General features: G+C 38.4%; 1 protein-coding gene across 10 annotated transcripts in view; it reads right to left on the bottom strand.

The window, feature by feature from the left end:
- Positions 1-15,610, bottom strand: part of MAST4 (microtubule associated serine/threonine kinase family member 4) — a 573,201-nt gene that overhangs the window by 393,322 nt on the left and 164,269 nt on the right. The window contains exon 3 of one of the 10 annotated variants that reach the window (XM_024446044.2): positions 15,217-15,240. The exons of the other annotated variants lie outside the window; for them this stretch is intronic. Coding sequence (XP_024301812.1) covers positions 15,217-15,240 — 24 coding nt within the window. The remainder of the gene's footprint in view (positions 1-15,216; positions 15,241-15,610) is intronic. 10 annotated transcript variants of the gene reach the window in all.

The raw sequence follows: 15,610 nt of genomic DNA, 5'->3' as shown, positions 1-15,610 counted from the left end.
CTGACAACCATCCAACATCTAAACAGTTATGACAGAGGCTAAGGAGTTGGGGACCAGTAGTTTTACAAGAGAAACAAAAAGAACAAAAGCTGCCATAGAGGTGACAAAATAAACTCCATATCACAACCTATGCAGAAACTTCCAGACAAGTCTAAATTTCCTAACACGTTCTCTATTTTTACAAGGAAACTCTTACATACAGTCTAATTCACATAATCGTGTATTTCATAATCATGTAATCACATCTATTTCTTTGGAACACTTTCTAGTTCCTGCTAGGTCTATTCCAGTAGATTTCAAATTCTTTCTCAACAATATCTATGTATGCTACCTGAAGAATGTAATATTTTTGTCTTAAGGAATGCTTGTCAATATTGATCAATGAATAAGCAAGAAACCTAGAGCACAATCATAAAATATTTCCTCAAAAATACTACAGAGTACATCTCCCCCAGCGCCTCCAAATGGCCATTTGTTAAAGGTCCCTACTTCTGAAGTGACAGATCTCAATTAGGAACTGTGTAACCTGCTCTCCCTCCTCCCTTATGAGGAAAGTTAATGCCCATTCTGCCTGGTTTCAAAGCAAAAGAACCATTGTTCTTTTGAAGAACCATTTTTAAGAACCATTGTTATCCAACCCTGCACACTGAATTAAATCCTAACAAACCGCCAATTGCTTCACAAAACAATGCCCTTGTTTTTAAGATGAGAAAAGTTGAAGCCAAGATTAGCATCATGACTGCCTCAGCAATGCTTGAAAATTAATGGTAGGTGTAGGGCTGGAATTCATCCTTTCCATTTCTGGTCTATCATTTAGCCACTGACAACTTCTGAAAGCTCAGTTGACATTAAGTAGCCCTGAACTCCAGGGTCAATGCCTCATGTTTTATAGTAACAGTTTTGCCAGCTACTTAGCATTCCCTTTTAGCAAATTCAGCCATGCTTATGGGGAAATCAGTGGGCTGAGTTGGGGGAAGGTAGTCTTTTGGTTGCTCCAATCACCCTCCAAATGGCCATCTCTCAAGCTTGAAAGCCAGGTCATTTTCTTCTAGCCATTTCATTAAATGCATTAAATCTCCCATTATTTGATCCACAAAGAGCACTGTGACTATTGAAGGCACTGTAACAGGGCATATGCACACAGACTTTTAGACATCAAAGAGTACAGTATATCATATATCAGAGCTGTCTGACTCCCATGTGACTAAGCAGCTACAGGGGGAAAACACACACATACACACACACACACACACACACACACACACACACACACACAGGAAAAGGATATTGAACGAATGTCTATGTGTAATGCCTCTAAACACTTGCCATTCATACCATGCCTGTACCTATGAGACTATATGTCTGATAACGCCTAGGCACATAACCATTCCAGTATTTATTGATAAGATGGCCAGATTTAGCAAATAAAAATACAGGATGCATACCTACATTTAAATTCAAGTAAACTTGAATATGTATGCTAATATAGCACTGGATACTAAAAATATTATTAGTTGCTTATCTGAATTAAAATTTAATTGGATACCCCATATTTTATCTGGCAATCATATTAGAATGAGAAATGCACAAGGCTTTGCTTTGAGGATACAAGGAAAAAGTCCTCAAGAAATTTATAAACTAGCAAATGGAATGATAGGTACACAAATAATAAAAATTAAAAGTAATCTCTCTTTTAAGAAAAGAACAACATTAAGGTGGTATCAAAGGAGAGAGAGGTGGAAGAGTCAGCAAAAGTAACATGAAGGTGTTTGGAATGGAATCTGAATGTAGAAAAAGGCCTTAAAGATTACATGCTTCATGATCAGTTTATACACCTAAGAGGGCAGGGGCATCACAGCACTCATAACCACAGGTATGTGCATGATGTATTATTCCCCCCTTTGTTTACTGTTATTTACGTATACGCCACTGCAGCCAAAAGCTAGCAAAATGGAGCAAAACCAAAATAAAATACTTTGAGATTCCTGGCAACCAAGACCAAGACAGAAACAGTGGGTTTACCCAGCTCTCATTATTTAACAAAAGAATAATTCAAATTTATCAGACCAATCTAAACCCTTTTTCCTTGATCTGAGCACAGATAAACTTGTTTCAGAAGTTTTAATAAAAGGTCAATGACATACATAATTGTTAACTGTCCTTCAGAGTAATTAAGGGCAAAAATACAGGCCATCCTACATTACTGGAACTAAATAAAAACCAAGGGTGCAATGCAGTGTGTGCATGCATACATGTAAACACATAAATGTCCATGTATGTCACTTAATACATGCCTCTTCTTAACACAGACTGGGAAGCTGGGAGCTGCACAACCTTATGCAAAATCCTTCTTAAAGCTGAATTGGGTGCAGCATTAATAATTTACAGCAGTCACAGTTTATCTTAGTTTGTGCCGCTACAACATAATAATGGAGACTGGGTAATTTATAAAGAACAGAAATTTATTTCTCACAGCTGTGGAGGCTGGAAGTTCAAGATCAAGGTACTGGCATGTGAGTCTGGTGAGGGCCTTCTTGTTGCATCCTTGCATGGCAGAAGGAGAATGAATGGCAAGCTCACCAAAAGCTGCTGTGTAAAAGAAACCTCTTTTAAGAGGGTCTTAGTCCCATTCATGAGGGAGCAGCCCTAGGATAGCCTAATCATCTCTTAAAGGCCCTACTTCTAAATACTATCAAACTGGCAACACCCGAATTTTAGAGAGGACACAAACCATGACATGATTCCCCCTCTATTCTTACTCAAAGAAGGAAACAGACATTTCAATAATATCATTCTCTCTTTCACAAGTCAGCAATGAGTTAAATGCAAGGAGGGGACTTACCCTCTGCTCTCCCTTCAGGCTTAGGTCTGATTCAGGTGCCTGAGACAATACTGTCAAAGAATAGAGAAATTATCTTGCTAGGCAGACACAAGAAAATAAATTTAGCCCTGACAATGTGTGGTGATTAAGTACTTGAATGACAATGGAACATGACAATGACAAATGCAGGCTACTGCCACCAAAGTCATTAATATATCAGAAACACTAATTTTTATAAATCTTTCAACTTCCCGGTTGGTTGCATTTCTTGACCTACTCTTTTTCCTGTGGAACTGACTTAGAGTCAGCATCATTTTCAGTTTCCAACTGGGAAGTTAAAAAAACTTCTACATTCCCAGTGGCTTTGATTGGCCACCAAAAATGAGCTGTAAGCAAGAGATGAATGGCCTGGGTATGCTCGAGTGACAGGACACCTACCAGCAGCTCTGATAGAGGCAAAGGTGGGCTTCCTTGCAGAGCAACAAATAAAGCATGTGTGTGTGCACAGGGGTTCAAGGGAGGGTGCAGTGACTAGAAAATGAAGAAAACCCATTTTCTACAAAGACTTTCCCTCCCTCACCATGGTAGCTAAAATTATTTACTACTCAACTCAAAGGGACCTTGAGAGTATAGGATCCAATGCACTCACTTTACAGATGAAGAATCTAAGGCCCAGCAATGAAGGCTACTTAGAAGTTGACTTGGGACTAGAATCTGGGCCTCAGATCTCCAGTTCACGTCCTTCCATTTACACCCTAAAACAGCAGTAAAAGATGGCAAGATGCTGTCTCCACCCAGGCAAGTCACTTGCTTTCTTTAAATTCTGTTCCATTTAATTCAGTGATCCCATTCTCTCTCTGATCTACATCTCCCCACTCCCTACTGTATTGTACCCTGTTACTCTCTGCCTCTGTTGTCCAGGGGATTCATGTATAGTGCAATTTACCAATTCCAGTACACGAGCAGTTAGCACCTCATTAGCACTGCAGTTTGACTGTATGAAATAAGATGTCACTGGCCTTTTATACTTTGGAACCCAGTAGCGTATGTCAAGCCACATAGCCTTTCCCCATGTTTCCTATAAGAGGGTAAAATCTTAAAAAAACATAAATTGAAACATGAAGAAAGGGAAAAAGAAAAGTATAAAATAGAAACTGAAACATCATCAGAAGAGCCAGTTACCTATGTCCAACTCTGTAAATGGGTTCCAGTGTTGTGTGAAATGGTACCACCCACCATCTTCTTACCTTTCCCTACCTTATCTCCTCCTCCCCAGTACCTCAAGGACATGAAGTGTGAGATTTCCTAGTTCATACTAATTTTCTAGCATTTCAATAAATCTTTCACGCTGTTAATTGTAGTATAATCAAGTCATTGTTTGTGGCTTCCTCATCTCTACTAAAGACTCACAGAGGAGCTAAAGCCACTTCATCTCTGAGGGGCTACACATATAAGGAACTGAGAAGATGAGCATGGATCAGTGTGCTTTTCAGAACCTAAAAGAGCACAATGCATGAAGGATAGGAAAGCCATACCTACTTGTGCCTGGGCCACAGTCTATCCTGTCAGAGGAAAAGAGAGTTTCAGGGAAGTACTAAAAAGACAAAACTAAAAAGCAGTAGAAAGAAAAAGGAATATGATTACGCCTCATCCAAAAAGCTCAACACCTTGATAACAGGTTAAAAAAAAAAAAAGCCCGAAACCAGTTTCTTATTCTAAAGGGAATTTTAAGAACAAAGCAACTTAGATTTTTAATATATGGATTCAATAATTAATCTTGTTTCCTCGGGAAGGACCAAAGCCCATTATTTGTAGAATCACGCTAGAACCTAAGAAATGAGCAGGGGAGTGGGGGGAGGAAGCCTTCTGTTCACGGATCCTGTTACTCTATACATTTTTGGTTTAAGTTTCTTCATTAGCCTAATTGGCATACAGAGCCTCCCGATAGAAATATATTTACACACAGGCCAGGCACAGTGGCTTATGCCTGTAATCCCAGCACTTTGGGAGGCTGAGGCGGGAGGATCACGAGGTCAGGAGATCAAGACCATCCTGGCTAACACAGTGAAACCCTGTGTCTACCAAAAATACAAAAAAAATTAGCCGGGTGTGGCGGCGGGTGCCTGCAGTCCCAGCTACGCAGGAGGCTGAGGCAGGAGAATGGTGTGAACCTGGGAGGTGGAGCGTGCAGTGAGCCAAGATTGCACCACTGCACTCCAGCCTGGGCGACAGAGTGAGACTCCGTCTCAAATAAAAAAAAAAAAGAAAGAAAAGAAAGAAATATATTTACACACATACAACTTTTAAAATCATGCCAGAAAAAACTTTAAATGACTACCAGACATCCTCCTCTCTGGTGCATGTTGAAGAATTCCAGTTACTGAGTTTGGTTTGCCACATTTAACACACCGAGCCAAAGGTCCAGATAGCCAACATATTTTGCAGCTGATAATGGTTTAGCTGTATCTGAGTATTTTCCTGCCCCAGTAATCTTGAAATTCTATGTCAACAGTGATTGAAGGCCTATGTTACCTTTTGCTCTGCAAAGGGGGCTTCAAGCATCTTAAGAGAAACTGGGCCTCCTGTGGAAAACATTAACTAACACTCAGGTCCAAGTGTTAAGTTTTTCAAACTATCAGGTACAGAACTGTAAAACTGATTTCTGAAGTGCCAATTTGCTAATGAAGCCTGGCTCCCAACACTATCCAGGGCTCAGGTACACATCAAAGCAAAGAGCCCAGTCTCTCACCTGCCCCGGGTATAAGAGAAATGACTCTGATTCTTAAAGTCCTCATTCAGCCTCTTTCCTTAATTTTCCCCTCATGCCTGTCTTGTCACTGGTGCAAAAGGCCTGAAGGAGAGATTTGGGCTTCCAAGAGGCTGCAGCGTGGCTCTGAACAAGGTGGTGGCCACTTGGCAGTTTCTAAGTGGCAGGTGACCTGGGTCTGGGAACCACCATATGAGCCTGTTAGAGGGGCAATGACTCATCGGTAGACCACCTGCATGGGAGATGAGCTCCGGCAGAAGGCTCCCTGACAGAGAGCCACTGGGAGGCAGCATCTGCCAAAGGAACTCACTGACAGCTGCGCCTCCCATTAAGTCTAGGTCTCATGAGACCTTACTACTCCTGACAAGGAGGAATTGCAACACTTACAAAAATACATCAAAGTAGTCACACCTTCTATTTAGAACACCTAGATAGCAAACAAAATATCCAGGCTATAAACTGTCATAGGAGCAGTAAAGACAATAAATGGTTTTAACGCTTCTTAAAACCATGCATTGTCACCGGGAAGAAGATGCTAACAGAATTGCCTGTTTATTGCCTGGTGACTCAGAAAAATATGTAGAGACATTCTTCAGCTTCATAAGCTATTACTGATGAACTACACAATTTTTTAAGTTCTAAAACCACACTAGACCGACTCAAGAGAATTCTTGTCATTAGTTATGTGCCTTCAGCATAGCAATTTTATACCTATTAAGAACTAGTAAAACAAATACCAGCAGGATGTTTTTAAGTCAGTAAAACCTTAAGTGTAAATTCTATGTGGATCTGGGCTTTTTCTTCTGGTTGGCGAAGAGCCAAGAACCCAAATTGGGAGTATCACAAGAGAGCACCATCAGGAGAACTGTAAAGATCTTTGCCCTTTAAAAATTTCAAATGGTGCCAAATTTCAAAACATAGTCATGTACCGCATAATAATGTCTTGGTCAACAATGGACTACACATAGGAGGGCGGTCCTGTAACAGGATAATATTGTATTTTTACTGGACCTTTTCTACGTTAGGTATGTCAGATACATAAATACTTATGTTACATTTTGTTATACATTGTGTTACAGTTGCCTGCAGTATGCAGTACAGTAACATGCTGTAAAGATGCGTGACCCAGGAGCAACAGGTTACAGTAGGCTAAACCAGGTAGGTTTGTGTAAGTATACTCTATGATGTTTGCATTAGGAAATCACATTCTCTAAACGTATCCCCGTCATTAAGCGATGCATGACTATATTAACATTTCAGTCATTCTTCAGGGGCTGGTTAAGTCAAACTCAGTCCACCTGCTGCTCACTCCCCAGCCCCACCATGCACCCAAGTCCCAGCTTCTAGTCCTCTTTCCAAATTCCCACTGGCTTTGGCTCGAGCCCCAGAAATATCACACCATGGGCACTAAAACTGCCTCTCATTCCTGTACAGCTCAGGTCCACCCTCCTCACCACTCTTATGAATGACCCTTGACCAGGCCTCTCTCTGTTTTCTGGAACCAGTATACCCAGTACATGAATTTCCCTAGTGCTTTAACCTTTTGCACAAACACGTAGACCGGCTTCACTTTCAATTCATGATCTCAGACTTTAAATGGGCTGTCAATGCTTTCAAGAAATCCTACTACATTTATAGCTTCCCTTCTTACTCTTCAAGACTATGTCATATCTCCTTCTCTTCTCAATTCCCATATAACCCTCCCAACTGAACCCCTTCCCCCATGGTCTCTCACAATGCACTGAGAAAAATGAAGCCATTAAATCCAATAACTCTCTGCTTTTTTTTAAAGCAAATGTATTAATATTACTGATATAATTTTTAAAATTATCTCATTTTGATATAATTATAGATATACATGCAGTTACAAGAAATAATACAGAACTCTTTACCCAGTTTCCCCAATGGTAACATCTTGAAAAACCTTAGTACAATATCACAACCCAAGAATGGACATTGAGACTATCAAGATAAAGAACATTTCCATCATCGCAAGGATCCCTCATGTTGCCCTTTTATAGCCATACCTACTTCCCTCCTACCTCATCCCCTCCTTAATCCCTGGCAACCATGAATCAGTCCTCCAGTTCTATAATTTTATCATTGTAAGAATGTTATATATTAGTGGAATTATACAGTATAACCTCTTTGGACTGACTTTTTCACTTAACATAATTTTCTGGACATTCATCCAGATTGCTGCATGTATCAACAGTTGTTCCTTTTTACTGCCAAGTAGTATTCCATGGTATAGGTGCACTTGAACTACCTGCTTTGGCATCTGTTTTCTCCTCCTTCCTCCTGTGACAATGTGGGAAGTGCCCCTCCTCCTATAAAAGGTCAACCCTTTCACATTTGCTTTGGATACCCAGCCCTGTTCCTCCAAACACCTTCTTCAGCTGTTGTCTCTCTCACCCAAACCATCTTCAGTGCTTTACAAACAAGTTCTCCTGACTCCCGCATTAAGATGGATCTCACTGACCCTTCATACCCTTCCAGCTCATACTTTATATTTCTAGTCCCTTTCATTGCACATTTTCTTCTCAAAAGAGTTATCTGTACTTCTATTTATCCAGATATAAGCCATCTCTGATTCCTTAATGACTATTTTGTCTTATCCCATCCCACTCTCACTTCTGTCTGCACTTCCCTACTTGTGATGATTAATACTGAGTGTCAACTTGACTGGATTGAAGGATGTAAAGTGTGGATGCTGGATGTGTCTGTGAGGGTGTTGTCAAAGGAGATTAACATTTGAGTCAGTGGGCTGGGAAAGGCAGACCCACCCTTAATCTGGGTGGATACTATCTAATTACCTGCTAGCATGGCTAGAATATAAGCAGGCAGAAAAACATTAAAAGACAAGACTGGCCTAGCTTCCCAGCCTACATCTTTCTCTCGTGCTGGATGCTTCCTGCCCTGGAGCCCTCAAACATCAGACTCTAAGTTCTCCACTTTTGGGACTCGGACTGGCTCTCCTTACTCCTCAGCTTGCAAATGGCCTATTGTGGGACCTGGTGATCATGTGAGTTAATACTTAATAAACTCCCCTTTATATATATGTGTGTGTGTGTGTATATATATCCTATTAGTTCTGTCCCTCTAGAAAACCGTAATAACTCTCTCCAGGTCCAAGACTACTCAGTGACTACATTGTCCCATCCAATGAGACTTTCCTGTCCTCATCTTACTCTCTCACATGCAGCCAATATATGGTTTGCCATCATTTCCTCCTCTGAAGATGCTTCTCTCCTTCTGTGATTCCACAGTCCTACTTGACATGCCTATTTATCATGTCTTATCGGGCATTTCAAACATACTCAAAACAGAATTCATCACATCCTATGTCTTTGTTAAAATCTGTTTCTCTCCTGGTCTTTCCTGACTTAGTAAGTGCCCTGCTCCCCCATCTCTTATCTAGCTGAATGCTGAGGCAAGGCCAGCAGGGACCATATTTCCCTAGCACCACACACACACACACACACACACACACACACACACACACACACACACGTGCACTTTACATTCATCTGTGACCATGTGATTAGATCTTTCTAAAAGAATAGGAACGGAAATTAGCATGTCTCTTCCAGGCTGGGACTTTTAAGAAGTCAGAAGGGTTTCTCCTCTCTCTTTCCACTTCTGCCAACTGGAAACGGTACCTCAAGGCTATTAAGAAGAGCAAAACCAGAAGATGGAATGTGGGTCCCTGAGTCACCACGGGAGGAAAGTTGCCTATGAACCCAAACATTTACTTTGAATTACTACATGAGCAAGAAATAAACTACTATTGTGTTAAGCCATTGATATTTTCTGGTTTGCTTGTCATAGCATGTAGCATTATCTTAACACACACCATTTTTATACAGGCATTCTTTTGATGGTGCTACAAAACTGAAGAAATCTGGAGTGTATAGGAAAGTTTAAGTTGTATTTAAGTGTGATATTTAGTAAATACCAAAGCTACCCATAAAACAGCCATACTTTATATAAATTATCTTTAATCTGAATTATTTCAGGCTTGCCCACTAAGCTAAGGAGGTCTTTAGGATGAGAAACCCATTGGGTACTACAGAGTAATTAAAAGCAATAGCTTCCAGGTTAATTTTAAATGAAAGAATGTTTTCTGGGATTGTGTTGTTCCTTTCTCTAAGTAAAAAAAAAACACTAAAAAATGCCGTTTTAAAAATTTTCAGACGTTATTCCAAATTGATTTCTATAGTCCAAAAAAGAAAACCCTCTCAACTTTCTTCCCAAGATAGAACGTCATGATTCTAACAGCTTTAAAATTCTAGTTTATATTGTCTGCAAAGCTGATTTCTTATTATTATGTGCATGTTATACACATATATATAGATTTTTGTCTTTCTTTTACATTCCAACCAACCCAAACATTTGGGGGGAAAAAAAACACAACTCTCTTCGTGGAGAAAAGCAGCACTCATTCTCTGGCTGTTACGGCTGTAACATACATCACAGCTGTAGAATGCAGGACAAGGATTTGGGGCATGCATTTGCATATCAAGAAGCCAGGATTCAAGATCCCAAGATTCTGTCCTTCATTCTGCAGCTTCCTCACTGTGAGCTGTGAGGCATATTACCAACAATACCCAGACTTAAGGGTCTCTATAATGATTAGAATAATGCTGCACTTCCTCATCAGGGGGCTCCAAAGCTCAGTCAATGTTTACATGAGGCTTCTAGGTGCTTATTTAGCAAGCTGTGGACCTTCAAGACAGGAAACACATCAGCCTCTAAAATAAAAATCCAGGCAGTAATGTGCATAGTGAGCTCCAGGTCTATTGTTTAAATGCCAGCCCTGCAAAAAGGGCACTGGTTATTTTCTCGTCTTTAATCTAATGCCCTTAGTGATTCAAAAGTTTAGCTAGGGAGGAAAATGCAAACATTTCAATCATGAGTGTCTATGCATAGTGAAATTATGGGGTTTTGGGCTTTTTCATTATACTGTTCTGTATTTTCTAAATTGTCTACATTGAATACATATTACTTTGAAACTTAAAAATAGTTAAATAAAATATTTTATTGTAAAAGATTTTTTTTAAGAAGCTAACTAGGATAGACTGAATTATCAGTTCCAATTCTTTACTCCCCTGAAGTAACATTACAGTCAGCTGTCACATCCAGATTCAACGAACTGTGGATCAAAAATATTCGGAAAAAACATAAATATTGATACGATAAAAGTGATACAAATGTTAAAATACAGTACAGCAATTATTTATAGAATATTAATATTTACATTGTATTAGGTGATATAAATCACCCAGAGATGATTTAAAGCTTACAGGAGGATATGCATAGGTTACATGCAAATACTACACCATTTTATATCAGTGACTTGAGCAACTATGAACTTCGGTATCCTGGAACCTGGAATCTGTGGCTACTGAGGGACAACTGTATATACAGTCATGCATTGCTTAGCAAAAAGTATACATTCTGAGAAATGCTTCCTTAGGCAATTCTGTCATTGTGCAAACATCATAGGGTGTACTTATGCAAACTTAGATGGTGTAGCCTACTGTGCAACCAAACTACAGGGTATATAGCCTATTACTCCTAGGCTACAAACGTGTATAGCATGCAACTGCACCTAATACTGTAGGCAACTGCAACACAATGATCAGTATGTGCATATCTAAACATAGAAAAGCTACCTTAAAATATAAAAGATAAAAAGTGGTACACCTGTATAGGATACTTGCCATGAATAGAGTCTGCAGGAATAGAAGTTGCTACCAGGGAGTCAGTGAGTAGTGAGTGAATGTGAAGACCTAGGACATCACCGTAGACTTTAGAAACAATGTACACTTAGGCTACACTGATTTAAAAGATATTTTTCTTTCTTTAATAAGTTAACCTTATCCTACTGTAACTTTTACTTTATAAACTTCTTAATTTTAAACTTTCTGACTTTTGTAATAACACTTAGCTTAAAATACAAACACATTGCAGAGCTGTACAAAAACATTTTCTTCTTTATATCCTTATTCTATAAGCTTTTTTTTCTATTTTTTTCTTTTACTTTTTAAACTTTTTTGTTTAAAAACTAAGACACAAACACATTAGCCTAGGCCTATGCAGAGTCAGGATCATCTAGACATTACCATATAATAGGAGCTTTTCAGTTCCATTATAATCTTATGGGACCACTGTCATATATATGGCCCATCACTGACCAAAATGACTTTATGTGGCACATGACTGTACCTGCATCCTGGACAAGGTATCAAGTGAAGTGTGCTTCTACCCCTTGTCTCTGGGCTTCACCATGCCGTTTGCATTAGCCAATATAAAATTAGCAGATATGACACCAGCAGAACCTTGAAATGTGCCTGTACAGGAGAACTTGCCCTCTCATGCTCCTGTCTTTCATAAGGAGATGATGCCTTTGGTAGCTGCTGGTCTAAAGAAGAAGGTAGACACATAGAACAAATCTGGACCCAAACTGCAACCTGGAACCAAGCCCAGTAGGGCCCAGAGTGACCTACAGCCAAACCCCAACTAACCTATAGCCATCTGAACAAGAAAAAAATACTTCTTGTTGTCTACCATTGAGATGTTTGCAGTTATGCAACATTACTGTTGCTGACTGATACACCACCAAATGCCACAGAAAAACTCGGGTTCAAAAACTATCTCGTGGATTAAGCTGCAGTGTACAAAAAAGGCCATAGCATCCTTCACTTGCCCATTTTTAAAGGAAGCCTACTCAACCATCACTCCAATTTGAGAAAATTCCTTAGCAGAAAGTAATTGTTTTCCTCCTCCTCAGTAAAGACAGATGCTCCTCATCTTACAGTGGGGTTACATCCAGATAAACCCATCAGAAGTAAAAAATATCTTAAGTCAATAATGCATTTCATACCCCACTAAACTCATCATAAAGTTGAAAAGTCAAAAGCCAAACCATAGTAAGTGGGGGACCGTCTGTATACAATTATTTAATTACAAATACAGTAAGTCTTAGGTAGTATGAGACACTATGAGACCATTTAACAATGGGATTTCACATTAATATATTGTGAGTCTCTTTCAATATTAAAACATATTTTTTATAATATGACCTTTAATGTTTACAATTGTTTTCCATTTTATGTGCGTACCATAATATGTTTAAGCAGTATTCATTTGCCAGCTATTTAGATAATATGAAATTTTAATTATTATAAATGGTACTGCTTTATATATAACTAAGGTTAATTCTCTTGACATATGACTGTTTCCTTGTGATGAATTCTGAGAAGTCAAATTTCTGGGTCGACCAATGTGTGAATTTTAAGGTTTTAAATATGTACTAATTGCCTAGTTTTACTTTATTTTTACAATTAAACGACTGGGAGCCCTACAGATTGAGCCAACCACAAATTTTAACTGAGTGAACAATTTTCCCACCTAAGATTCACTCCAGTTAATACTGCTGGAATTAAGAGTTTATTTAAAACCTACTAGGTACTGACTATGCTAGGAACAGTGTAGCAGTTGTGAGCATGAACTCTGGAGCCATGATGCCTGGGTTCAAATCCTCGCCTTCTGTTGTGAGGACTGTGACCTCAAGGAAGTTACTCAACCTGCTTGTGCCTCAGTGTTCTCATGTGTAAAATGAGCTAACAGTGTCTCCCTCATAGACACACACAGATGTTATAAGGATTAAATAAGCCAGTAAATATAATTCCCTAAACACAATGCCTGCTACACAGTAAGCTTTTAATATTAGCTATCATTATAAGGGATAAATATATAAATTGATCACAGATCTTCCTTTCAAAAAGCTAAAAGTTTAGTGAACCTTATCAAGGATAATTGGTTGGCAAAACTGTCCAACCATAAACTAAAAATCTTTGTTTTAAGGAAAGCAGAATGCTGCCAAAGAAAAGATCCTTGGATTAAAACAAAGTAAAACAATGAGAAGGTGGTCAGTTGTTAAGTAACAGATTAGATCAGGCATGGGCCTCTGATGGAAAAACCAGTAAGACTTATTTTAAGTTTAGCAACAGGGTATGTCCCAAGATGAGATCACATGTGATTATTTGGTTACCTAAAACTAGTGGAAAACACATTTTTTAAAGATCAGGGAAGATGCTGTCTTCTCTGTGCTCCAACATCTGACACTAGCCTGACATGAACACAGTGCCTAACACCAAGTAGCAAGCCAGTCGATAAGGGTACCAAACTCATTTCCATGAGCCCATGCCACCCATCAACTCCAAATCCCCCCAAATTCAATTAGTTATGCACATAATACTAACAGCTGCCTGGGCTAGCTGCTTTGTGTATATTATTTCATTAAATCTTCAGCTAAACCATACAGAGGAACAATTAAAAATGTTTTTTTCATATTCTAATATAATTTTCAAGGAACTGTCTTCAAAAACAGGCTGACGTTCGATGGATTTTTTTTTTAGCTCTTCTAAGGACTATTAAACATTTAAAAAAATTATCTGACCAAAGACTTAGTTACCAAAAGTAATTGTGTAGCGAACTAATTGTCTAAGGATTGACTTGCTAGAGCTGTTAAAATTATGACAAGAGAATCAAGTCCGGCTATTTATTTTCAAAGCTAAAGGCCAAATTTCATGTTTGAGATCATATATCTGATCAACAGCCATACCCTTGCATTATTTTAAAGCTTTATGTAAACTGCTTTAGCAAAAATGGATAGAATAATTACTGCCCCTCCTATCTATCAAAAATAGTTGAATCAAGGTAAGTAAATTTCCTAAGTGAAATTAATAAATAAAAGGATGAGTCTTTTAACCTTTAAGATTTAATTTTCTTACCTACAAGAGAATAATCTTTGGGATCTCCTACTTTAAAAAGCAAATAGTCTGCATTTATGAAATGAAAGCAAAGAAAAATATCCTAACAAGCATTAGAAGAGCATCAGTAAACTCAAGGGAAAAGATTTGCCTTAAACTGCAGCAGTTTTTTTGATGAATTTCTCCCCCTTGGCCTGAGGTAGTTTGGCCTTTTGTTCCAGCAGAGTGGCACACAGGGTCAGATGTCCCAGACTCCACTAATCATGTGGCAGTAGCACTTCTGTTCCCAGAAATTTCATCTTCAAAACGTCAAAATCCATAGTTCTCCAAAAAAAAAAAAAATGAGTAATTCAACTTACTTTCCAGGCCATTTTTAAACTGGTAGACAAGACCATCATGTAGAAAGAAAACTCTGTTTGGGGATTTTAAGAAACAAAGTTCCGTGAAAATATTTATATCTAGAGGAAAAAGTACTCTGATGAAATAACAGAAATCCAGCTTTCAGTGGTATATAGTTAATAACATACAATTTTAAGTGGTGAGTTACCTTTTAAAAGCTAGGCTTTAACTTATCTTAATTTGGGTATTTTGCAGTCAAAAATAATTTGTGAGTTTTCTGGATTTGAAAATTTCTCAATTTTAACAATGAAATTTAAAAAGGGGTGAAAGAATTGAACCAATACTTCACGAGACACAAATAATTGTCCAATAAGCACTTGAAAAGGTGTTCTAGATTATCTAGTCACCAAGGAAACATAAATGAAACCCACAATGTGATACATCTATGTAACACTGAAAATGGCTAAAATTTTTAAAACTGGCAATACCACAGGTTAGCAAGAACGCACAGCAATTGGATCGTTCATCCATACCTGTCAGGAATGTAAAATGGCACAATTTTAGAAAACCGTTTAGCAGTTTCTTTTCTAATTTTATTTTTATTAACAAAGAATAATTTATACATATTCATGAGGTACTAGTGATGTTCCAATCATATAATGTATAGCGATCAGATCAGGGTAGTTAGCATATTCATCATATCTCAAACATTTATCATTTCTTTGTGTTGGGAACATTCAATATCATTCCTCTAGCTATTTGAAATTATATATATTTGTTAATTACAGTTATCCTACAGTAGTATAGAACACTAGAACCTAATTTTATAAAGTTAAACATACGCTACTAACACACGCAACAACATGGGTGAATCTTAAAAACATCACACTGAGCAAAAGAATC

Source organism: Homo sapiens, chromosome 5 (assembly GCF_000001405.40).
Source record: "Homo sapiens chromosome 5, GRCh38.p14 Primary Assembly".
Classification (NCBI taxonomy): Eukaryota; Metazoa; Chordata; class Mammalia; order Primates; family Hominidae; genus Homo; species Homo sapiens.
Note: the sequence above shows the minus strand (reverse complement) of the source record. Positions and strands in the feature narration are given on the sequence as shown.